Here is a 25,471-nt window from a genome sequence, read left to right on the forward strand (position 1 = left end):
TGGATGCTGAAAACAGAGGCTCATTTCCCCCTACATCCTCCTAGTCCAGGAAGAATCTTATTCCTGAATATTATAGTAAAACTCTTGTTATCTAGAGAGGTTTAAATGTTCAGATAGAAGGGGAAAGCTGATGACGGGTAAAATCACATAAAAGATTATTATATTCTTGTGTGATTTCTCCAAGACTTTTCAGTATTTGTTTGAAAAAAAAAAAGCATGTGAAACCTTGGCACGCATTAGAATAATTTGATTAATGTATACAATGAGTTGATTGCTATCAATAATCACTCTATTTTGTGCCATCATGTCAATGTTTCTTAAGATGGTTTCTATGAACTAACCTTGCCAACACGAAAAAAGCTAGATTATGGATTTCTTTTCAGCATGAAGTAGAATTATAATTGGAAAGTAATACAGTTAAATTATAAAACCTTAAAATCTTAGATAAGGAAGTCATCTTACAGATACTAGAGTTTACTGCCTTTCAGTTTAGAAGGAGTGAGTAAACTAAAACAAAGAGAAAGGAAGGATCTGACCAGGTTCATAAGTAGGTACGTTAGTGCTACCACCACAGCCCCATTCAGTCGCCTTAACACACACGTCTCCTTCTTTCTGTTTCAAGCAACCCCTACTGGAGAATTTTTCAGAAATTGGAAGTCACCATCAGAGTTGGAAAAGCTATCTAACTAAATGTATGCTATGTTATGTATATATATATATATATATATATATATGTAATATATATGTATGTATACACACATATGTATATATGTTCTGTACTATATATACATATGTATATGTGTTATGTATTTTAATATAATTAATTATATACTTGGATTATTTCTTATTTACATAAGTACTTCTGGAGTATTTGGCTTTGAGTCTTTTGGACCTTGAAGTCCACTAAAAATGTATCCCAAAAGTCTAATTACAATTGTACTAAAACAAAATGAAGGAACAAGAGAAAATCTACACATAGCCAATATAAGCTTAAAGTGAATTAAAATGAATTTACCGGCCGGGCGCGGTGGCTCACGCCTGTAATCCCAGCACTTTGGAAGGCCGAGGCAGGCAGATCACAAGGTCACGAGATCGAGACCATCCTGGCCAACATGGTGAAATCCCGTCTCTACTAAAAATACAAAAATTAGCTGGGCATGGGGGTGGGCACCTGTAATCTGAACTACTTGGGAGGCTGAGGCAGGAGAATGGCTTGAACCTGGGAGGCGGAGGTTGCAGTGAGCCAAGATCACGCCACTGCACTCCAGCCTGGTGACAGAGCAAGACTCTGTCTCCAAAAAAAAAAAGAGAGAGAGAGAATTTACCAAGCTCTATATTCTTAACCTTGTGTAATTGAGTTTGGGACCCCTCAAATTTATGTTTTTGAGATTAGGGCTCTATCCATTATTATATTTGTGGAGTTTTTTTGTAAGTATCCTTTTCAGAGACCCATCAATTTGAAGCTAGCCTATTTCAATAATCTTCTTAATGGAATCCTCACTTCCATAGTACTTTCCAGTTCATACATTATTTTTACTTATGATACCTCATCTGATTCTCACTGATGGTCCTATTGGTCCTATGTTAGTGGCCAGGGTCGCTGTGTGAAAAATATAGTGTGTGAACTTGGAGACCAGCGCTAGAGAATAAACTTTGAAGAGAGAGTGAGAATGCAGTGACTAAGGAATGACTTGAAGAATCACTCTGACCCTTGCTAGTCTTGACAGAGCTAACAATGTCTAGACTTTGGATACAGTTCTGAGACAAAGAAAAATGCTAGAAAAAGTATGTAGGAATATGGACTGAACAAACTGATGAAAAAAGAGCAACATTTCTACTATTTTAAAAAGTAATTAAAATTAATTTTCTTCCTAAAAAGAGACCACACACTGTGGTAAAAATTCCTAAACATTTTCACCATAATCTGTTTGTTGGTTTTTTAGAATTTTATCTTAACTTCCAAAAGTATTACAAGACAATTTGTAAAAGTTAAAAATATTTATATGAAAGTAATCTTTTTTCTTATTCACTTTCCTGAAGCTATGGCAACTTCCAAATTTCCATTTAGAAATGTATAGGTGCTGTGACTTGAGAGAGAGTGAGAAATAAATGGGAGACTTCCTTGGAACTATGTCCAAACAGCAAGTTTGGACATAGTTTTTTTTGTGTGTTCTTTTTATGTTTATATGAAGTGGCTTTTGAGGGAACTAATGTAGATTATGGAGCTCTAAAGCAGTTTAGTGCTGCCCCTACCATGAGGTAATCAACACTAAAAGAGCCATGCTTATGGAAATATACAAATCCATATCTAAAGGTTTTTTTTTTGTTGTTGTTATCTGGTTTTACAGAAAAGGGACTATGTTTTGTATATTATCCTTCAACTTTCTATTATTAATTCAAGGGCATCCCTCCAGTATTAACATCAACATCTAATGTATACTTTTTACAGTTTAATATTTTATTAATTAACTATAATTACAGATATACGGATCTATTTCTAGTAGTACACTGTGACACACAATGCTGCAATAAACACCTTTATACATTTATATTAGCTATACATGTTTCTGAATACAACAGGGCAGAGTCCCAAAAGCAGTATTTTTAGTTAATAGAATGCATATTTTAGATTTTAATACACATTTCCAAATTATTTGCTTCAATTTGTAGCAATTTATACTCAAATGTCCAAAGTCTGAGGATGATTTATCCTCATTAACTCTGAATGTTATTGCTTTTTAAACTTTATACTAATGTAATAAGTAAAAAGTAGATTGTTATTCTTCCTTTAATTTTCATTCAATATTAATTTTTTAAAATTTACCTTTTGGTTTTCTAAGGTGAACTTGTTATTCTTCAGATATTTTTTCTAATGGCAGAAATGTAATTTCATAAAAAGTGTTTTCCCTTAAAATTGTTATTGGTCCTGGACTGTCACTTCAAATCAATATCTCTTTTCAGATGTATATTTGGGCCATTTCTAGATTAAATTATACTTTATGGTAGTAGTAAAGAACTGTATAATCCAGATCTACAGATTTGAGGTAACTTGAGGAATATTTCTTCCCTCGTTCATTAACTAGGTAGGAAGGACCTTGCGCTCAGGAATCTTTTAATTTCTAGGATTCTGGGGAGACTACAAATGCTTTCAATAATGAGAAGATTTTTCCATAAGATTGGAGTTTCTAAAAACAGCATTGCAAACAAAGCATTTTTATGACTTGCTTTATAGGCTTCATTACACAACATCAAGGTGAATGGGTTCATAATCCAATATTGTTACAAAAGTAGAAGCAATTTATGTTCCAAAAAAAAATCTCTGGGGTAATTAAACTGCATTTCCCATTTCATGTTACTGAATTACCACATCTCCATTCATATTCAGGCTACCACAGTTCCAATTCACTATGCAAATTGGAAGACTTAGAACTTCCCAGGTTTAATGAATGCTTTCTTAGCCTCCACTCAGGAAAGAAAACCCTCCAAAATATTTTACTATGGGTTTAATTGGATGAGGAGTATAATGCATCACTCTCTCTTGGCATCCTAGTCCCTCACGGAGGTGTCCTTAATAGATGAATGAAGCCTGCTGGGGGAGTTCACAGTTTTACCTATTAATGTTCCCTGAAAGATCCCTCATCAGCATGATACTGCCATTTGAAGAACTTTTCCCCCAAAGCGAGGGATTTGCATACATTTGGTCAGAGAAGTCTGTCGCCTGGGCTGGCTAGGTAAATAATTATTTCATTCTGGGCACCAGAAGTTTTTTTTTTTTTTTTTTTTAAACTGACCAAATGTAGCTCATATAGGGCACAGTAGAAAGTCTTGGAAACAATGATATGTGGCAAACTGTGGACTGAAATAGGAAAGTGTGGCTTGGAGTTGCTGCCTGCAAGTATTTGCAAGGCTTACATAAGAAGAGGTGGCAGATTTTCTCAGAGACACCAGAGGTGACTTTTACTGCCCTTTAAAAATACTTCTCAAATTTGAGCTCTTCTACAGCAATGGGTACTACTGCATGAATGGTACAATTCCCCCATAAGAACACTCATTCACTTACTCAGAAATATTTATTGACTACAGTATATTATTCAGGATGCTACCACAGTAAGCAAGACAGAGTCTTGGACCTCACAGGATTACAGTTTGCAGGGAAGAATGTAGAAGTAGAAGCTGAATGGCCAGCTTCTACTGGGAGTGTCTTGGAGGGGATATACACACTGAGGGTGTTTTGACTTTATAAATTCTGTGATCTCTTCCACCTCTTTAATTCTATAATTTTGTGACTGTGCCTACTCTGGTAGTTTTGTGATAAGTAGTATGCATTTGCAAAATTGATTTCTAGAAAGGATTATAGACTGTGGCCTTGAGCAAAAATGATTTTCCTGGTTATTAACTGGCACACTTGGGATAATTTTGAAGTCCTTGGCCTCATTAAATTCATCTAACCACCTGAATTACAAAAGCTAGAAAATACTGTTACAAATATTTTAATTTACATTAATTATATTTTCACTCTTCAAAGATAGAGAATCCCCTCATATATAAAGAAAAAACGATATAAAAATGAGTCAGATTTTATAGTTTTTATGTAGTTACCTAAAGTCATCAGGCTTCTGCCATTGATACCAATTTTTTCATCAATTTTAAACTCCACTTTTCATATTTTATCTCTGATATGTGATGCATCTTATAGCCAATGCTCTATAATTGGCAAATTGATATATGATAATCATGCATCTTAAATCGATTGTATTTTAAACTTGAGCAAATTTGTTAATCTTCAAAAATTTCAGTGGGTACCATTTGCATGAAGAATAGATTTTAAGTCCATAAGCCTGGACTCCAAAGAACTTTGTAATATATTTTCTGCCTTATTTGCAACACTGTTCTATAATATTCAACTCTCTAGTCACAAAAAAATAAAATTTAAAAAATCTTATATATTTTGAGAATGTCTTTGCTCATGTTATTCTCTTTTTTGGGAAATTTCCTTTCCTTCCTTCTTCAGCATTTTTCTTTTGGAGTATTATCCATCAGCAGCCTTGCCCAGGTATAGACTGTGCCAGCTTGTTCTCTCTTGGCCTCTCGCCAAGGGTAATACTTCTGTCTGTAGAGTATCTTTGAGTAGTTTGCTATTCTCTGTCTTCCCTGCCTGGACTCTCAACTATTGGACAGTTATTTATAAAGTGGTTTCAAAGGCCCAACTTTAAATCCCTCCTTAGACAACCGGTTGGTCCCCTGCTCTGGGAGATAACCATATTGATACTGAAGTTAGTGCAGACATCCAATTTGCATAGCACACTGTAGCCCAGAACCCTTGAGCTGAAATGATCCTCTGTCTCAGCCTCCCAAGTAGCTGGGACTACCAGCACATGCCAACACACCTGGTGAGTGTGCTCTTTCTAAAATACATACATGACCATGTCCTTTCATCCAGTGGTTTCCCATGGTATGGCATATGAAATACCCTCTAATTTCACTTGTCCTCTGATATCAGTTTTCTCAATATTCTCCCCCCACCTCATTTTTTTTAAGGCTGTACTGAATTACTTGCTTTTCTCCAAATATTCAGTTCTTTGAATATTTTTGTCTGCCATTTCCTCTCCCTCTAATCTTCCAGGATGAAGAATCACTACATCTTAAGCTTTTCCTGACCTTTTCTTTTGTTGCTCAAAACTGATCATTCCTTTATTTGTACTTCCACTAACCTTGTACTTACTTTTATTATAAAATTTATTACATTGATATACCTTTAGGATTGTACTTCTCCCTTGTCCATGAGTCCATAAAGACAGAAATGAAGTGTTCCTAATTTTTTGTCTCCTTTGTGTCAAATATTGTGCCTAGTACATAGTGAGTGTTTAACAAGATGTTAAATAAATTAACTGAGAGTTAGAATAGTAAGATTAGCATACCATATATTAATGACCTCAAGGAAGGACAATACTTTATTGCAGTGGTTCTCCAATATGGCTGCGTATTAGAATCACTCAGCTTAAAAAAAACTCAATGCCCAATTGTAAGAATATTAAATCAAAATATCAAAGAATGGGACACAGACATAAATTTTAAAATTATCCACATGGTCCAAATGTGCCAGCATCGTTGAAGAACACTGCTTAAATATTTAGTAGTTTTAATAGATTTATTGAAAGTTCACCCATTTTAAGTGTATAATTCATTGATTTTTTAATAAGTTTATAGCATGGGAAACCACCATCAAAATACAGTTTTAGAACTTTTCCTTCACCTCCTGCATTTATATTAGGCCTGCTGCTTGTAAATCTCTACTTACACTCCTCCAGCCCCAGGCATCCACTGATTCACTTCTGTTTCTATAAATTTTACTTTTCTGGACATTCTATATAAATGGAATCATCCATTGTGCAGTCTTTTGCATTTAGCTTCTAATGTTGTTAAGGTTTATCCACATTGTAACATGTATCAACATTTCCTTACTTTAAAAAAAAAATTTCCATAAGTTATTGGGGTACAGGTGGTAGTTGGTTACATGAGTAAGTTCTTTAGTGGTGATTCGTGAATTTTTGGTGCATCCATCACCCGAGCAGTAGACACTGCACCATATTTGTAGTTTTCTATCCCTCACCGCCCCACCTCACTCTTCCCCCTAAGTCCCTAAAGTCCATTGTATCATTCTTATGTCTTTACGTCCTCATAGCTTAGCTCCCACATATCAGTGAGAACATATGATGTTTGGTTTTCCATTCTGAGTTACTTCACTTAGAATAATAGTCTCCAATCTCATCCAAGTCACTGCAAATGCTGTTAATACATTCCTTTTTATGCCTGTGCACTATTCTATTGTATATCCCTTACATTTTTATTACTATTTATGTGCTCTATCTATACAATAGTATTCCATTTTATAGATACAGAATATTTTGTCTATTCATTTACCAGTTAGTAGACATTTGGATTGCTTCCTGTTATGCATTATTATAAATAATGCAGCTATGAACATTCACATACAAAACTGTGGGCAAATGTTCTAATTTATCCCGGGTAGGTTATCAGAAATAGAATTGTTAAACCATAAGATACATTTAGATTTAACTTTCAAAAAATTTTTCAAACTTTTTGCCAAAGTGGCTTTATGATTTATAATCCTTTCATGCACGTCCATGTGAAGAGACCACCAAACAGGCTTTGTGTGAGCAACATGGCTGTTTATTTCACCTGGGTGCAGGTGGGCTGAGTCCAAAAAGAGAGTCAGCGAAGGGAGATAGGGGTGGGGCCGTTTTATAGGATTTGGAAAGGAAATGGAAAATTACAGTCAAAGGGGGTTGTTCTCTGGTGGGCAGGGGCGGGGGTCACAAGGTGCTCAGTGGGGGAGACTCTGAGCCAGGACAAGGAAATTCACAGGGTTAATCACTCAGTTAAGGTGGGGCAGGAACAAATCACAATGGTGGAATGTCATCAGTTAAGGCGGGGCAGGGCCTTTTCACTTCTTTTGTGATTCTCCAGTTACTTCAGGCCATCTGGGTGTATACGTGCAAGTCACAGGGGATGTGATGGCTTGGCTTGGGCTCAGAGGCCTGACATTCCTGCCTTCTTATATTAATAAGAAAAATTAAACAAAATAGTGTTGAAGTGTTGGGGCGGCGAAAATTTTTGGGGGTGGTATGGAGAGAGAATGGGCGATTTTTCTCAGGGCTGCTTCAAGCGGGATTAGGGGCAGTGTGGGAACATAGAGTGGGAGAGATTAAGCTGAAGGAAGATCTTGTGGTAAGGGGTGATATTGTGGGGTTGTTAGAAGGAACATTTGTCGTATAGAATGATTGGTGATGGCCTGGATACGGTTTTGTATGAATTAAAAAACTAAATGGAATAAGAGAAGGAGAAAAACAGGTATAAAAGGTCTAAGAATTGGGAGGACCTAGGACATCTGATTAGAGAGTGCCTAAGGAGATTCAGCATAGTCCTGCCAGCAAAGATTATTTATTTACTTCAAGAGTTTAGAGTGGCAGTTTGGGGATAGCACCAGGAGATATCAGCTGTGATGGCTTGGAGAAACAGTGTAAACCGGCAGTGTAAACAAGAGCAGGGCATGTAGTTCAGAATGGTGAATAGGAGTATGACTAGACAAAAGATAGTAGGGATGACAAGTTTTTTTGGGGCACAGTCTAAGTTGGTCTGGTGTCAAATGAGACTGGGGCCTAATAAAAAGGAGCGTCTGTCTATACAGGAGCTTAAATGGGCTGTACCTTGTAGCATTCTGAGGACAGGCCTGAATTCTGGGAAGTGAAAGTGATAAAAGTATTGTCCAGTCCTTTTTAAGTTGGTGGCTGAGCTTGGTGAGGTGTGTTTTTAAAAGACCTTTAGTCCGTTCTACTTTTCTTGAAGACGGAGGACCGTAAAGGATATAAAGGTTTCACTGAATACTAAGAGCTTGAAAAACTGCTTGGCTGATTTGACTAATAAAGGCTGGTCTGTTATCAGACTGTATAGAGGTAGGAAGGCTAAACTGAGGAATTATGTCTGACAGAAGGGAAGAAATGACTGTGGTGACCTTCTCAGACCCTGTAGGAAAGGCCTTTACTTATTCAGTGAAAGTGTCTATTTAGACTAAGAGGTATTTTAGTTTCCTGACTCAGGACATGTTGAGTAAAGCTAATTTGCCAGTCCTGGGTGGGGGCAAATCCTCGAGCTTGATGTGTAGGGAAGGGAGGGGGCCTGAATAATGCCTGAGGAGTAGTAGAATAGCAGATGGAACACTGAGAAGTTACTTCCTTGAGGATAGATTTCCACGATGGAAAGGAAATGAGAGGTTCTGAGAGGCGGGCTAGTGGCTTGTACTATAGCATAGCCTGCCTTTGCTGGTGTGTGGCGATTAGGCCTGGTGGAACTGCCATCAATAAATCAAGCATGATCAGGGTGAGGAACAAGAAAGAAGGAAATATGGGGAAATGGGGTGAATATCAGGTGGATCAGAGAGATAGTCATGGGGGTCAGGTGTGGCATCAGGAATAATGTGGGAGGCCAGATTGAAGTCCGGGGCAGGAACAATGGTAATTGTGGGACTTAAAGAGTGAGTACAGCTGAAGGAGCCGGGGAGCAGAAAGTATATGCGTCAGGTATGAGGAAGAAAATAGATTTTGGAAGTTATGAGAAATGTAGAGAGTGAGTTGAACATAGTTTGTGATTTTTAGGGCCTCTAACTGTATTAAAGCAGCGGCAGCCGCTGCACGCAGACATGAGGGCTAGGCTAAAACAGTAAGGTCAAGTTGTTTGGACAGAAAGGCTACACGATGTGGTCCTGGCTCTTGTGTAAGAATTCTGACCGCACTAACCATGCCTAGGAAGGAAAGGAGTTGTTCTTTAGTAAGGGATTGAGGTTTGGGAGATTAATCGGACATGATCAGCAGGGAGAGCACGTGTGTTTTTATGAGAATTATGCCGAGATAGGTAACAGATGAGGATGAAATTTAGGCTTGACTGAAGTATTGGGGGCTGTCTGTGAAGCCTTGCGGCAGTACAGCCCGGGTAATTTGCTGAGCCTAATGGGTGTCAGGGTCAGTCTAAGTGAAGACAAAGAGAGGCTGGGATGAAGGGTGCAAAGGAATAGTAAAGAAAGCATGTTTGAGATCCAGAACAGAATAATGGGTAGTAGAGGGAGGTATTGAGGATAGGAGAGTATATGGGTTTGGCACCATAGAGTGGATAGGCAAAACAATTTGTTTGATAAGGCGCAGATTCTGAACTAACTTGTAAGGCTTGTCTGGTTTTAGGACAGGTAAAATGGGGGAATGGTAAGGAGAGTTTATAGGTTTTAGAAGCCCATGCTGTAGCAGGCAAGTGATAACAGGTTTTAATCCTTTTAAAGCTTGCTGTGGGATGGGATATTGGCATTGAGTGGGGTAAGGGTGATTAGGTTTTAATGAGATGGTAAGGGGTGGGTGATCGGTCGCCAAGGAGGGAGTAGAGGTATCTTATACTTGTGGGTTAAGGTGGGGGAATACAAGAGGAGGAAGCAAAGGAGGCTTTTGGATTGAGAAGAAGGGCAGCAATGAGATGTGGCTATATCCAGGAATAGTCAGGGAAGCAGATAATTTGGTTAAAATATCTCGGCCTAATAAGGGAACTGGGCAGGTGGGGATAACTAAAAAAGAGTGCATAAAAGAGTATTGTCTAAGTTAGCACCAGAGTTGGGGAGTTTTAAGAGGTTTAGAAGCCTGGCGTCAATACCCACAACAGTTATGGAGGCAAGGGAAACAGGCCCTTGAAAAGAAGGTAATGTGGAGTGGGTAGCCTCTGTATTGATTAAGAAGGGGACGGACTTACCCTCCACTGTGAGAGTTACCGGAAGCTTGGCGTCCGTGATGGTCTATGGGGCTTCTGAGGCAATGAGGCAGCATCAATCTTCAGCCGCTAAGCCAAGAAGGAGTCAGTCAGAGAGCCTTGGGCCAGAGTTCCAGGGGCTCTGGGAGTGGCTGCCAGGTGAGTTGAACAGTCCGATTTCCAGTGTGGTCCCGCACAGATGGGACATGGCTTAGGAGGAATCCTGGGCTGCAGGCATTCCTTGGCCTGGTGGTCAGATTTCTGGCACTTGTAGCAAGCTCCTGGGGGAGGAGGTTCTGGAGGAACGCCTGGCCGCTGCGGTTCAGGCGTTTGGAAGTTCTTGTGTGCTGGAGATGTGGCTGGGGTTTGTCTCACAGTGGAGGCAAGGAATTGCAATTTTTTTTTTTATTATTGTACACCTTGAAGGTGAGGTTAATTAAGTCCTGTTGTGGGGTTTGAGGGCCAGATTCTAATTTTTGGAGTTTTATTTAATGTCAGGAGCAGATTGGGTAATAAAATGTATATTGAGAATAAGATGGCCTTTTGACCTTTTAGGGTCTAGGGCTGTAAAACGTCTCAGGATTGCTGCCGAACGAGCCATGAACTGGGCTGGGTTTTTATATTTGATAAAAAAGAGCCTAAACGCTTCTGATTTGGGATAAAGAAAAAGGAGCATTAACCTTGACTATGCCTTTGGCTCCAGCCACCTTTTTAAGAGTAAATTGCTGGGCAGGTGGGGGAGGGCTAGTCACAGAAAGAAACTGTAAGCCGGACCAGGTGTGAGGAGGGGAGGCGATAAAAAGATTACAGGGTAGAGGAGCGGAGGCTGAGGAAGAATTGGGACCTAGCTTGGCCTGGCGAGGAGGGGAGGGGTCAGATGGGTCTGTAGAAAAGGAAGATTAGAAAGACTCAGCAACGCTTGGGGTTGGGACTGAGGGGACAGGCGGAGGGGGGAAAGAAGGAAGATTTGGGACGAGTTGCACTGGGCACAGAGACTAGGAAGGGACTGATGTGTAAAAGAATGCCTGGACGTCAGGCACCTCAGACCATTTGCCCATTTTATGACAAGGATTATTTAGATCTTGTAGGATGGAAAAATTCAAAGTGCCATTTTCCGGCTATTTGGAACTACTGTCGAGTTTGTATTGGGGTCAAGCGCATTGCAGAAGAAAATAAGATGCTCAGATTTTAGGTCAGGTGAGAGTTGAAGAGGTTTTAAGTTCTTAAGAATATAGGCTAAGGGAGAAGAAGGAGGAATGGAAGGTGGAAGCTTGCCCATAGTGAAGGAGGCAAGTCCAGAGAAAAGAGTAGAGACACGGAGAAGGGGTGGGGGTTTCTTGCCCTCCAGAAAAGCAGAGAAAGGGTTGGGGCATGGAAATAAGGAATTGGGGCACAGAGATAAGAGGTTGGGGTGTGGAAATAAGGGATTGGGGGTTCTTGCCCCCTAGAAAAGCGGGACTTGCCGCTAAGGGTGAAGGAGAAGCAGTTGAGGGGTACTTGTCCCTCCCCCAGAAAAGCAGAGAAGGGGTAGAGACAAGGAGAGAAGGGATTGGGGTACTTGCCTCTTCCCCAGAAAAGCGGGACTTGCTGCTAAGGGTGAAGGACCAAGGCAGGCGTCCCTGCGTGGTCTGACACCTTTGAAACGTGGGTGAATAATCAGGCATCTCTGCAATGATTAAACACCAAGGGAAGGCTGCCTTCCCAGTCCGTGACCAGCACCGGAGTTTTGGGTCCATGGATAAAACGTGTCTCTTTTGTCTCTCTCTACCAGAAAATGAAAGGAATTGAAATTAAGAGAAGGGAGAGATTGAAGTGTGGCGCCAAGATTGAAAGGAGAAAGAGGTTGAGGGATAGTGAGGGAAGCTGGAGAAGAGAGTAAAAAGAGGCCACTTACCAGATTTGAAATTGGTGAGATGTTTCTTGGGCTGGTCGGTCTGAGGACCTGAGGTCGTAGGTGGATCTTTCTCACAGAGCAAAGAGCAGGAGGACAGGGGATTTATCTCCCAAGGGAGGTCCCCTGATCTGAGTCACGGCACCAAATTTCATGTGCGTCCATGTGAAGAGACCACCAAACAGGCTTTGTGTGAGCAACATGGCTGTTTATTTCACCTGGGTGCAGGTGGGCTGAGTCCAAAAAGAGAGTCAGCGAAGGGAGATAGGGGTGGGGCCGTTTTATAGGATTTGGAAAGGTAATGGAAAATTACAGCCAAAGGGGGTTGTTCTCTGGTGGGCAGGGGCAGTGGTCACAAGGTGCTCAGTGGGGGAGCCTCTGAGCCAGGACAAGGAAATTCACAGGGTTAATCACTCAGTTAAGGTGGGGCAGGAACAAATCACAATGGTGGAATGTCATCAGTTAAGGCGGGGCAGGGCCTTTTCACTTCTTTTGTGATTCTCCAGTTACTTCAGGCCATCTGGGTGTATACGTGCAAGTCACAGGGGATGTGATGGCTTGGCTTGGGCTCAGAGGCCTGACAAATCCCATTAACAATTCTTGAAAATTTTAGTTTCTCCACATTCTCACCAGCGGTTGTTATTGTCTGTGTTTTTGAGTATAGCCATTGTAGTCGATGTGTAGTGGTATCTCATCATGGCTCTAATGAACATTTCTCTTATGATTAATGATTTTGAGCACTTTTCATGTTCTTATTAGTCAATCAGATGCCTACTTTGGTGAAATGTCTATTCAAGCCTTGGTTCTTTTGTAAATTGGGTTGTTTTTCTTCCTGTGACTATTAAGTGCTCTTTATTTATAATGTATATAAGTATTCCATCAAATATGTGATGTGCAAATATTTCACCCCAGTCTGTTACTAGTCTTTTTATTTTGTTAACAGTGGTGTCTTTTAAAGTGCAAAAGTTTTGTTTTAATAAAATTTATCTTTTTTTTTTCTTTTTATGGCTTATGTTTTAGTGTAGCATCTAAGAGATTTTAATCCCATGCCACAAATTTTTTTTCTAAATTATCATTTAGTTTTTACATTCTAGTTCTTACATTTACGTCTACAATCAATTTGGAGTTCATTTTTGTGTATGATGTGAGGTAAGGGTCTAAGATTACTCATTTGCATATGGATCTCAAAATTTCCTACCATCATTTGTTGAAAAGATTGTTCTCTTTATATTTATTCATCTTGATATATTTGTTGAAAATTAATTGATTATAAATAAAAGGATTTATTTCTGGACACTCATTCCTGTCCTATTGATGTTAATGCCTATCCTTATAATGATACTACACTGTCCTGATTAACTTTATTGTATGTTTTGACCTTGAGTAGTGTACATTTTCCATTATTTTTCTTCTTTTTCAAAAATTGCTTTGACATTGTTAGGTCCTTTGCATTTCCTTAAAATTTTGGGTCACGTTGGCAATTCTACACAAAAGCCTGCTATAATTTGACAGGGACTGTGTTGAATCTGTAGATCAATTTGTTAGAGAATTTCCATGTTAACAATATTTAATCTATATGTCATTATGAATTATCTTTTCATTTACTTAGATCTTTAATTTCTCTCAGAAATATTTTGCAGTTTTTAGTCTATAAATCTTGCATTCTTTCATTAAATTTATTTCTGAATATTGAATTCATTTGATACTATTTTAAATAAAATCATTTTTAAATTTCATATTCAGATTGTTCACTGGTAGTATGGTAGAAGTACAACTGATTTTTTATGTTGATCTTATGTTCTGTGACATTGTAAAACTCATTCAAGTTCTTAGTAATTTTGTGTGTGTGTGTGGCTTCCTTAGGATTTTCTACATATTGGATCATTTTACCTGCAATAGGCATTTTGACTTCTTCATTTTAAACCAGAATTTCTTTTCTTCTTTTCCTCCTCTTCCTCCTCCCACCCTTTACTGCCTCCTCCTCCTCCTCCTTCTTCTTATTCCCCTTCCTCTTCTTTTCCTTATCCTCCATTTCCTGCCCCTAGTTTTCCTCAGACTCCTCCGGAACAATTTGAATAGAAGACGTGGGTGGGGACATCTCTGCCTTGTTCTTGTTCTTAGGAAGAAAATGTTCCGGGATCTCTGGGGTGTCGATTTTTCTGGCCAGAAACCTCTGTGGCCACTGCGCCTTTGCCCAAGTTCTTGTCCTGCACCCAGGAAGAATGAGGTGTGCAGACAAGTGAAGAGTGAAGAAGAAGAGTTTTACTTAGTGTCAGAACAACTCTGAGGAGTAGGTAGCTCCTCTCTGTGGACAGGTCGTCCCGTCGAGTGTTCAGCTCTCAGCAGAGAGGAGGTTCTGGAGAGGGTGGCTCCTCTCCGCAGGCATCTCTGCAGGTCTCTGAAGCTCTCAGCCGAGAGGGTAGCTCCTCTCTGCCAGCAAGTCGTCCCTGCAGCTCTTGGCGGAGAGGGCACTCCTCTCTCAGCTGAGGAGTCCCTGGAGAGGTTGTCTCTGCAGCTCTCAGCAGAGAGGAGGCCCTGGAGAGGATGGCTCCTCTCCACAGGTGTCTCTAGAGGTCTCTGAAGCTCTCAGTAGAGTGGGTAGATCCTCTCTGCCGGCAGGTAATTTCTGCAGCTCTTGTCCCAGAGGGTACTCCTCTCTCATCAGAGAGGAGGTCCTGGAGAGGTGGCTCCTCTCCGCGGGAGTCTCTCCGGGTCTGTGAAGCTCTCAGTGCAGAGGGTAGCTCCTCTCTGCCTGCAGGTCGTCTCTGCAGCTCTCGGCGGAGAGGGTGCTCTTCTCTGCAGTTAGTCGTCCCATTGTCTCCAGCTATCAGCAGAGAGGGTACGTCTCATTGAAGCTGGTCACCCAGTCCCATGAACTCTCTCTACTCTCTGGGTCCTCTGGCCATACTCTGCACTGCTCTGGCTGAGCCCAGGGCTCTTATAGACCTCAGAGGGGAGGAAGTGCATGGGGATTGGCCCATGGGTGGCCATGGGCGGGCCCAGAGAGGCACCATGAGTTCCCACTCTGGTGACGGACTGGCCACCTGGCCCTCAGCCTTCAGGCCCTCCCTGTCCTGAAGGTGGAGACTTACTGGGGACCTACCCCCTTCCACCCAGGACTCTTTCTGCCTCCCACTGCCATTCAAATTCAAGGCCCCGGGTCACTGCCCCAACCCCACTTCAAGATCAGAACCAGCATCAGAAGCAGAGAGAGGCCAGGCAGTGGGAGCAGACACCCCCGAACCTGCGACGGGGGAGGGTCCTTCCTGCAGCCCTCTAGGGTGCAGGGTGCAGAGACGCCCAGGTCCTGCGCCTAGGAGGGTGGCCGCAGCCGCACCTGGGAAGGCAGATCCAGCCTGCTCCAGGCCTTCCCCAAGAGCACAAGGAGGCTCCCATCGAGGGCTGCAGTTTGGGCAGCTGTAGTCCCATCCAGGAGGAAGGGGCTTCTGCTTGCTCCATAGAGCAGGAGGCCTGGGTCTGCAGCTGGGTTTGGGCAGCTGCAGTGGCACGGGAAGAGCTGCAGCTCCAACTCAGAAGGGGTGGGGCTGCCACCGGCTCCATGGTGCGTGCAGCCTGAGCCATGCCTCCTTACTGCAGCCAGCGTGATGGCCACTGCCATCACATTTGGTGTTCTCGTTAAGTGTGATATTAGCTGTAGTTTTTTTTCATAGCTGTCCTTGATCAGTTTAGGTAGGTTCTTTTCCCAGTTTAAGAGTTTTGAAATTATCAATTGGTGTCAGATTTTGTTAAACACTTTCTGTGTATCACTTGAAGTGACACACAGATACACAGATCATATATGTGGTTTGTTTTGCCTTTTTTTTCTTTTCTTCTTTCTAACTGCATATGATGAGCAATTTTACTACTTTCAAGATTTTTTCTTTGTCTTTATCTTTCATCAGTTTAACTATGACACATCTGGGTGTAGAAACTTTATCCTGCTTAAAGTTCATTGAGCTTCTTGAATATGTAGATTAATATTTTTCATTAAACTTTGGAATTTTTGGTCATTATTAATTTTTTTTTCTATTTTTTTCTCTTTTTGCTCTCCACCTTGGACTCTAATTACACATGCTTAGTATGGTTGATGTTGTTCCAAAGGCCTTTGAAGTTCTGTTGACTTTTCTTCAATCTTTTTTCTCTGCTATTCAGACTGAATTATAACTACAGTTCTATTGTCAAGTCATTGATTCTCCCTTCTGTCATCTCAAATTTGCTGTTGAGCCTCTTGAGTGAATTTTTCATTTTAGTTATTGTAATTTTCAACCCCAAATTTCTATTTCATCCTTTTCTTTTTAAAAATAATTTCTATCTCTCTGAGTTATTTTTATAAGCATATTTATTTTATATATGGTAAATAATATGTTTTGATATGTATACACAGGCATACATCAGAGATGTGAGTTCAGTTCCAGACTACAGCAATAAAGCCAATCTCACAATAAAGCAAGTCACACAAAATTTTTTTTCTAGCACATATAAAATTATATTTCCAATATACTGTAGTCTCTTGTATGCAATAGCACTATGTCAAAAAAAAAAAAAAACCAGTGTGCCTGCCTTAATTTAAAAATATTTTATTGCTAAAAATGCCAATGATCACCTGAGCCTTCAGTGAGTCATCACCTTTTTGCCAGTGGAGGGGTTTTGCCTTGATGTTGATGGCTCCTGACTGATCAGGGTGGTGGTTGCTGAAGTTTAGGATGGCTGTGGCAATTTCTTAAAATAAGACAACAATTAAGTTTGCCATATTTATTGACCGTTTCTTTCATAAAAGATTTCTCTATAGCACGAGATGCTATCTGATAGCATCTTATGCACAGTAGAACTTCTATCAAAATTGGAGGCAATCCTCTGACACCCTGTCACTGCTTTATCAACTAAGTTGATGTAATCTTCTAAATTCTTTGTTGTCATTTCAACAGTGTTCACAGCATCGCTACCAGGAGTAGACTGATCTCAAGAAACTACTTTCTTTGCTCACCCATAAGAAGCAACTCCACATCTATTATAGTTTAATCATGAGATTGTAGCAATTCAGTCACATTTTTTTTTTTTTTTTTTCTGAGACAAGATCTTACTCTGTCACCCAGACTGGAGTGCAGTTACATGAACACAGCTCACTGCAGCCTCAGCCTCCTGGGCTCAAACAATCCTTCTGCCTCAGCCTCCTGAGCAGCTGGCACCATAGGCATGTGCCATTATGCATGCCTCATTTTTTGATTTTTGTAGAGATAGGGTCTCACTATGTTGCTCAAGATGGTCTTGAACTCTTGCCCTCAAGCAGTCCTCTTGCCTAGGCCTCCCAAAGTGCTGGGATTACAGGTGTGAGCCACTGCATCTGGCCAGGCTCCATTTCTAATTCTAGTTCTCTCGTTATTGTCATTATGTCTGCAGTTACTTCCTGCACTAGTCTTGAATCAAAGTCATCCACAGAGGTTGGAATCAACTTCTTTCAAATCCCTGTTAATGTGGATATTTTGACCTTCTACCATGAATCACAAATGTTTTTAATGGCATTTAGAATGGTGAATTCTTTCCAGAAAGTTTCAGTTTACTTTGTCCAGATTCATCAGAGGAATTATTATCTTTGGTAGCTATAGCATCATGAAATGTATTTCTTAAATAATAAGACTTGAAATTAGAAATTACTCCTTCATCCATGGGCTACAGAATTGTTGTGTTAGCAGACATGAAAACAAAATTAATCTCCATGTACATCTCCGTTAGAGCTCTTGAGAGCCCAGATGCATTGCCAATGAGCAGGAATTTTGAAAGGAATCATTTTTTTTTTTCAGAGCAGTAGGTCTCAACAGTGGGCTTAAAATATCCAGTAAACCATGCTGTAAACAGATGTGCTGTCATCCGGCTTTGTTTTCCATTTATTGAGCATAGGCAGAGTAGACTTAGGGCAATTCTTAAGGGCTCTAGAATTTTTGAAATCATAAAAGATGTAGACTTCAATTTAGAGCCACCAGATGCATTAGCCCTAAACAAGAGATTCAGACTGTTCTTTAAAGATTTGAAGCCAGTCATTGACTTCTCTCTAGCTATGAAAGTCCTAGATGGAATTTTCTCCCAATACTAGGCCATTTTGTCTACATTAAAAAAATCTGTTGTTGGCTGGGTACGGTGGCTTACGCCTATAATCCCAGCACTTTGGGAGGCTGAGGTGGGCGGATTGCCTGAGGTCAGGAGTTCGTGACCAGTCTGGCCAACATGGTGAACCCCATCTCTACTAAAAATACAAAAAAGTTAGCCAGGTTTGGTGGTGTACACCTGTAATCCCAGCTACTTGGGAGGCTGAGGCAGGGGAATTGCTTGAACCAGGGAGGTGGAGGTTGCAGTGAGCCAAGATCGTGCCACTGCACTACAGCCTGGGCGACAGAGCAAGACTCTGTCTCAAAAAAAAAAAAAAATTCTGTGTTTAGTGTATGCTTAGTGTAGCCACCTTTATCAATTATCTTAGTCAGATCTTTTGGATAACATTCTACAGCTTCTATATCAGCACTTCCTTCTTCACCTTATACTTTTATGTTATGATGATAGCTTCTTTCCTTAAACCTTATGAACCAACCTCTGTTATCCTCAGTCATTTCTTCTGCAGCTTCCTCACCTCTATCAGAATTCGTAGAAATGAAGAGAGTGAAGGCTTTGCTCTGGATTAGGCCTTGGCTTGAGGAAATGTTGTGGCTAGTTTGATCTTTTTATCCTGACCACCAAAATTTTTCCCGTACCAGAAACAAGGCTATTTAGATTTCTCATCGTTTGTGTTTTTCGTGGGAGTACCACTTTCAGTTTTCTTCAAAGCCTTTTCCTTTGCATTCACTACTTGACTACCTGGCACAAGAGGCCTGGCTTTCATCCTATCTCAGCTTTTGAAGTGCCTTCCTCACTAGGCTTACCCATTTTTAGCTTATGTTTTAAAGTAAGAGATGTGCAACTTTTTCTTCCACTTGAACACTTAGAGGCCATTATAGGGGTATTTTAATTGGCCTGATCTCGGTATTCTTGTGTCTCAGTGAATATGAAAGTATGAGGAGAGGTAGAGAGTTGGAGAAATAGCTGGTTGGTAGAGCAGTCAGAAGTCACACATTTATTGATTAAGTTTGTCATCTCAATTGCTTCTCGGCCTTTTGGCTAAGATCAAGAGTGAAGTTTACCATTGCATGTGGTGTGGTTTATGGTGCCCCCAAACAATTATGATAGTAACAGTAAAGATCATGGATCACCATAACAGACATAGTAATAATAAAGTTTGAAACATAGCAAGAGTTATCAAAATGTGGCACAGAGACACAAAGCTAGCACATGCTGTTAGAAAAAATGGTGCCAATAGACTTGCTCGGAGCAAAGTTGTCACAAACGTTTAATTAGTAAGAAGTGCAGGATCTGAGGCATGCAATAAATACAATAAAACAAGATATGCCTATATATACTAAAATGATTACTACAGTGAAACAAATTACATCATTTTTCTCACATAATTACCTTGTTGTGTGTATATGTGTGGTAAGAACACCTGAAATTTACTCTTTTGGTAAATTTTATTACACAATACAGTATTTATTAATTACAGTAATCATAGTTTACATTAGATTTCTAGACTTATTTATCCAACATAACTGTAACTTTGGACCCTTTGACCAACATCTCCCTATCCCCTTCCACTTATAACCACCATTATACTCTACTCTATGTATTCAGCATTTTTAGTTTCCACATATAAGTGACATCATGCAGTAGTTTTCTTTCTGTGTCTGGCTTATGTCACTTAACATAATGTCTTTCAGTTTCACTCATGTTGTTGCAAAGGGCAGGATCTTCTTTTTTTTTAATTTGAATAATATTCCATTGTGTGTGTATACATTATATTATATTTTATTACATTCAGCAATTTATCCATTCACCCATCAATGGACATTTAGGTTGTTTCCATATCCTGGCTATTGTGAATAATATTCCAATAAACATGCAAGTGCAAATATCTCTACAGAATGACAATTTCATTTCTTTTGGTTACATATTTACACCCTTTCTAACACTTATCTCTTGCCTGTTTGATAATATTCATTCTAATAGGTGTGAGGTGGTATCTCAGTGTGGTTTTGATTTGCATTTTCTTCATGATTAGTGGTGATGGGAATCTTCTCATACACCTCTGGGCCATTTGTATTTCTTCTCTCTATTCAGATTCTTTGTCTATTTTTTAATTGGATTATTTATTTTTATTTTTTGTTGAGTTGTATGAGGTCCTTATATTATCCTGGATATTATTCTTTTACTGGTTATATGGTTTGTAAATATTTTCTTCAAATATGTAGGTTGCCTTTTCATTTTGTCGATTTTTTTCTTTGATGAGCAGAAGATTTTTAGTTTGACATAGCCCCACTTATTTATTTTTGCTTCTGTGGCCTGAGGGTTTTTTGTGATATCTAAAAAATCATCACTGGACCAATGTCTGGAAGCTTTATTCCTATGCTTTCTTCTGGAAATCTTACAGTTTTCGGTCTTATGTTTAAGTTTTAAATTCATTTTGAGTTAATTTTTTGTGTATGGTATAAAATAAAGGTTCAAATTCATTCTTTTGCATGTGGCTATCCACTGTAGCCAACATCATTCTTTGAAAGATTATCCTTTCCCCATCGTGTATGTGTGGTGCCCTTGTTGAAAATTAGCTAACCATATATGTTTTGTTTTGTTTTTTGTCTCTCTGTGCCTGATTTATTTCACTTAGCATAATGTCTTCCAGTTTCATCCACGTTGCTGCACATGATGGGATTTCATTCTTTTTTATGTCTGAAAAATAGTCACTTTTTCTTTATTCATTCATCCATTGAAGGACACTTAGGTTGTTTCCATACCTTGGCTACTGTGAATAATGCTGCAATGAACATGGGAGTGCAGATGTCTCTTTCAGATCCCAGTTTCAATTTCTTTGGATATATACCCAGAACAGGGATTGCTGGATCATGGGAGTAGTTCTATTTTTAGTTTTTTGAAAAAATTCCATACTGTTTTCCATAATGTCTGTGCCAATTCACATTCTCACCATCCAGTTTACAAAGGTGTGCCTTTGTTCACATCCTTACCAATACTTATCATTTGACTTTTTGATAATCGCCATTCTTTTTTTTTTTTTTTTTTGATAATTGCCATTCTAATAGGTAAGAGATGATATCTCATTGTGGTTTTGATTTGCATTTCCCTGATGATTAGTGATGTTGATGACTTTTTTATATACCCTTTGGCCTTCTTTAGAGAAATGTCCATTCAGATTTTTGCCCATTAAAAAAAATATTTATCCTTCAACTTTTAAGTTCTGGGGTAGATGTGCAGGATGTGCAGGTTTGTGTTACCTTGGTAAACGTGTGCCTTGGTGATTTGCTGATACATCAACCCATATGGTTGGGTTTTTTTAGCTCTCTTTTCTGTTTCATTGATCTAAGTGTCTGTTTCTATATTGTTTTGCTTACTTAAAGCTTTGTTATATAATTTGAAATGAGAAAGTGTAATGATTCTAACTTAGTTCTTTCTCAAGATTATTTTGACTAAAAAAGGTATTTTACAGTTCATATGAATTTTAGAATTTTTTTCTATTTTTGTGAAAAAATACCATTGGAATTTTGATAGAGATTATGTTTTATTTGTATATTGCTTTGGGTTATATGGACATTTTAACAAGATTCATTCTTCTAATCCATAAACCTGGGATATATTTCCATTTACTTGTGCCTTCCTTAATTTCTTTTATCAAGGTTTTATAGTTTTCAGTGTACAGATATTTCACTTCTTTGATTTAATTTATCTTGAAACATTTTATTTTTGATGTATTTTAAGTGGGATTGTTTTCTGGATTTCTTTTTTGATTAGATCATTATTAGTGTAAAGAAAAGCAACTAATTTTTGTATATTGATTTTGCATTTTGCCACTTTACTGAATTTGTTTATTAGTTTCTATAGATTTTTATTTTTTTTGTAGAGTCTTTAGCATTTTCTACGTATAAGATCATTTGCAAATGGGTAATTTTACTTCTTCCTTTCTGATTTGGATTATCTTTCTACACTGATTGCTCTTGCAATCCATTACTATGTTGACTAGAAGTGGTAATAGTAGGCATCCTTGCCTTTTACCAGATCTTGGAGGAAAAGCTTTTAAGTTTTTCCTCACTGATTATGACATCTCTGGCCTTTTCATAAATAGCCTTTATTGTGTTGCAGAAGTTTCCTTCCATATATATTTTATTTAGAGTTTTTGTTACATATGGGTGTTCAACTTTGTCAAATGCTTTCTATACCTATAAAGATAATCAAGGGGTTTTTTATGTTTCATTATGTTAATGCAATGTATCACTTTGATTAATTTGTGTATGTTCAACCAAACTTGCACCTTAGGGATAAATCCCACTTGGTTGTGGAGTATAATCTTTTTGATGTGTTCTTAAATTCAGTTTGTTAGTATTTTATTGAGGATTTTTGCATCCATGTTCACCAGATATATTGGCCTGTGGTTTTCTTTTATAATGTTGTTGTCTGGTTTTGGTGTTAGGGTAATGCTGGTCTCATAGAACAAGTTAAGAAATATTATTTTTGCTTCAATCCTCTGAAAGAGATTGTAGAGAATTCATACAATTTTTTTCCTTAATATTCCACAGAATTCACCAGTGAACTAATCAGGGCTTGGTCTTTTTGCTCTGGAAGGTTATTAATTATTGGTTCAATTTCTTTAATAAATAAAAGTCTATTCAGATCGTCTTTTTCTTGAGTGAGTTTTGTCAAATTGTGTCTTTTAAGGAATTGGTTCATTGGCTCAATCTAGATTACAAATTTATGAGCATACAGTTGTTCGTAGAATTCCCTTATTATTGCCAGGCGCGTTGGCTCACGCCTGTAATCCCAGCACTTTGGGAAGCTGAGGTGGGCGGATCACGAGGTCAGGAGATTGAGACCATCCTGGCCAACATGGTGAAACCCTGTCTCCACTAAAAATACAAAAAATTAGCCAGGCATGGTGGCGGGCGCCTGTAGTCCCAGCTACTCGGGAGGCTGAGGCAGGAGACTGGCGTGAACTCGAGAGGTGGAGGTTACAGTGAGCCAAGATCACGCCACTGCACTCCAGCCTGGGTGACAGAGCGAGACTCAGAAAAAAAAAAAAGAAAAAGAATTCCCTTATTATCCTTTTAATGTCCAGAGGATCTGTTGTCATGTCCCCTCTTTTATTTCTGATATTAGTAATTTGTGTTCTCTCTTTTTGTTTCTTAGTTAACCTGGCAAGAGTCATATTGATCTTATTGATCTTTTCAAAGAACTAGCTTTTGGTTTTGTTGAGCTTCTTTATGGATTTCCTCTTTTCAGTTCATTGATTTCTGCTCTCATTCTTATTGTTTATTTTCTCCCACTTTAGATCTAATTTGCTCTTCTTTTCCTAATTTCATAGGGTGAAAACTTAGATTATTTATTTTCTATTTTTCTTGCTTTTTACTATATGCATTGAATGCTATAAACTTCCCTCTATGCACTACTTTCATTGCATCTTAAAAATTTTGTTGTGTTTTCATTTTTATTTAGTTCCAAATGTTTTTAGATTTTTCTTGAGATTTCATCTGTGACCTATGTGTTATTAAAAACTATGGTAGCTCAGGCATAGTAGCACACACCTGTAATCCCAGCAATTTGGTAGGCCAAGGCAGAAGGATTGCTTGAACTCAGGAGTTCAGGACCAGCCTAGGCAACATGGTAAAACCCTGTCTGTACAAAAAACACAAAAAAATTGGCTGGGCATGGTGGTGTGCACCAGTAGTTCCAACTACTTGGGAGGCTGAGGTGAGAGAATTGCCTGAGCCCAGAAGGTCAAGGCTGCAATGAGCCATGATTGCACCACTGCACTCCAGCCTGGGCCACTGAGTGAGATCCTGTCTCAAAAGTAAATAAATAATAAATAAATAAATAAAAGAGGAGTATGTTAATTTCCACACATTTTTTATTTTCCTGTTATCTTTCTGTTATTGATTTCTAATTTAATTTTACCGTGGTCTGAGAGCAGACATTTCATGATTTCTGTTCCTTTACATTTGTTAAGATATGTTTCCTGGTGCAGAATGTGCTTTATATTTGTGTATGTTTCATGTGAGCTTCAAAGGAATGTGTATTTTGCTATTGTTAAATGAAGTCGTCTATAAATGTTGATTACATCAGTTAATTGATGATGGTGTTGAGTTCTACTATGTCCTTAATAATTTTTTTGTCTGCTGGATCTGTCCACTTCAAATAGAGGAATGTTGAAGTTTCCAACTATAATAGTGGATTCATTTATTTTTCCTTTCCTTGCATTTTCATCATTTTTTGCCTCATGTGGTTTGATGCTGTGTTGTTAGGCACATACCTATTAAAGATTGTTATATTTTCTTGCAGAATGACCCCTTGATCATTGTGTACTGCTCTTTATCCATGATAATTGTCCTTGCTTTGAAGTTTGCTCTGTCTTAAATTAATACAGCCACTCCTGATTTCTTTTGATTAGTGTTACATGTATATTTTTCTTCATCCTCTTACTTTTAATCTATATGTGTCTTTATATTCAAAGTGGGTTTCTTCCAGACAACATAGAGTTGGGCCTTTTTTTTTTTTGTCCACTCTGACAACATCTGTCTCTTAAACCATTGATGTTAAAGTGATTATTGATATAGTTGGATTAATATCTACATATCTGTTATTGTTTTCTATTTGTTGCCCTTGTTATTTGTTCCTTCTTTGCCTTCCATTCTTTTTCTGCCTTCTATAGTTTTAATTGAGAATTTTATATGACTTCATTTTCTCTCCTTCCTTAGCATATTAGTTAATACTTCTTTTTAAACTTTGTTTTTAGTGGTTGCCCTAGAGTTTTCCATATACATTGACAACAAATCCACATCCAGTTTCAATATACATTGACAACTAATCCACATCCACTTTCAAATAACACCATAGTGCTTTATAGATAGTGTGAGTACTTTATAGTAACAAAATAATCCTAATTCCTCCATTTGATTCCCAGATTCATTGTAGTCATTCAGTTCACATATATTAGCATGCATAAGTATATATATAAAAAGTGTACATAATTAGACACATTGTTGCTATTGTTATTTTGAACAAACATTTGTTAGACTAAGAAAATAACATGTTTATTTTACATTACTTATTCCTTCCTCAATGCTCTTCTATTCTATATGTAGATCTGAGTTTCTGACATATCATTTTCCTTCCCTCTGAAGAACTTAACATTTTTTGCAAGGCAGA

At 38.7% G+C, this 25,471-nt stretch overlaps 4 annotated features.

Annotated features, from left to right (window-relative positions):
- Nucleotides 12,260-13,459: an enhancer, noted in NCBI's record as "CDK7 strongly-dependent group 2 enhancer chr8:91107580-91108779 (GRCh37/hg19 assembly coordinates)". NCBI's record gives its function as "activates an origin of replication core promoter dependent on BRD2, BRD4, P300/CBP, MED14 and CDK7 cofactors, with strong dependence on CDK7, by STARR-seq in HCT116 cells {active_cell/tissue: HCT116}" and the evidence as "EXISTENCE:reporter gene assay evidence [ECO:0000049][PMID:35650434]".
- Nucleotides 12,425-12,962: an enhancer, noted in NCBI's record as "NANOG hESC enhancer chr8:91107745-91108282 (GRCh37/hg19 assembly coordinates)". NCBI's record gives its function as "activates a minimal SCP1, AML or CMV promoter by ChIP-STARR-seq in naive H9 embryonic stem cells {active_cell/tissue: H9 hESC(naive)}" and the evidence as "EXISTENCE:reporter gene assay evidence [ECO:0000049][PMID:30033119]".
- Nucleotides 14,650-15,322: an enhancer, noted in NCBI's record as "H3K27ac-H3K4me1 hESC enhancer chr8:91109970-91110642 (GRCh37/hg19 assembly coordinates)". NCBI's record gives its function as "activates a minimal SCP1, AML or CMV promoter by ChIP-STARR-seq in primed H9 embryonic stem cells {active_cell/tissue: H9 hESC(primed)}" and the evidence as "EXISTENCE:reporter gene assay evidence [ECO:0000049][PMID:30033119]".
- Nucleotides 15,323-15,994: an enhancer, noted in NCBI's record as "H3K27ac-H3K4me1 hESC enhancer chr8:91110643-91111314 (GRCh37/hg19 assembly coordinates)". NCBI's record gives its function as "activates a minimal SCP1, AML or CMV promoter by ChIP-STARR-seq in naive H9 embryonic stem cells {active_cell/tissue: H9 hESC(naive)}" and the evidence as "EXISTENCE:reporter gene assay evidence [ECO:0000049][PMID:30033119]".

This window comes from Homo sapiens, chromosome 8 (genome assembly GCF_000001405.40).
Source record: "Homo sapiens chromosome 8, GRCh38.p14 Primary Assembly".
NCBI lineage: Eukaryota > Metazoa > Chordata > Mammalia > Primates > Hominidae > Homo > Homo sapiens.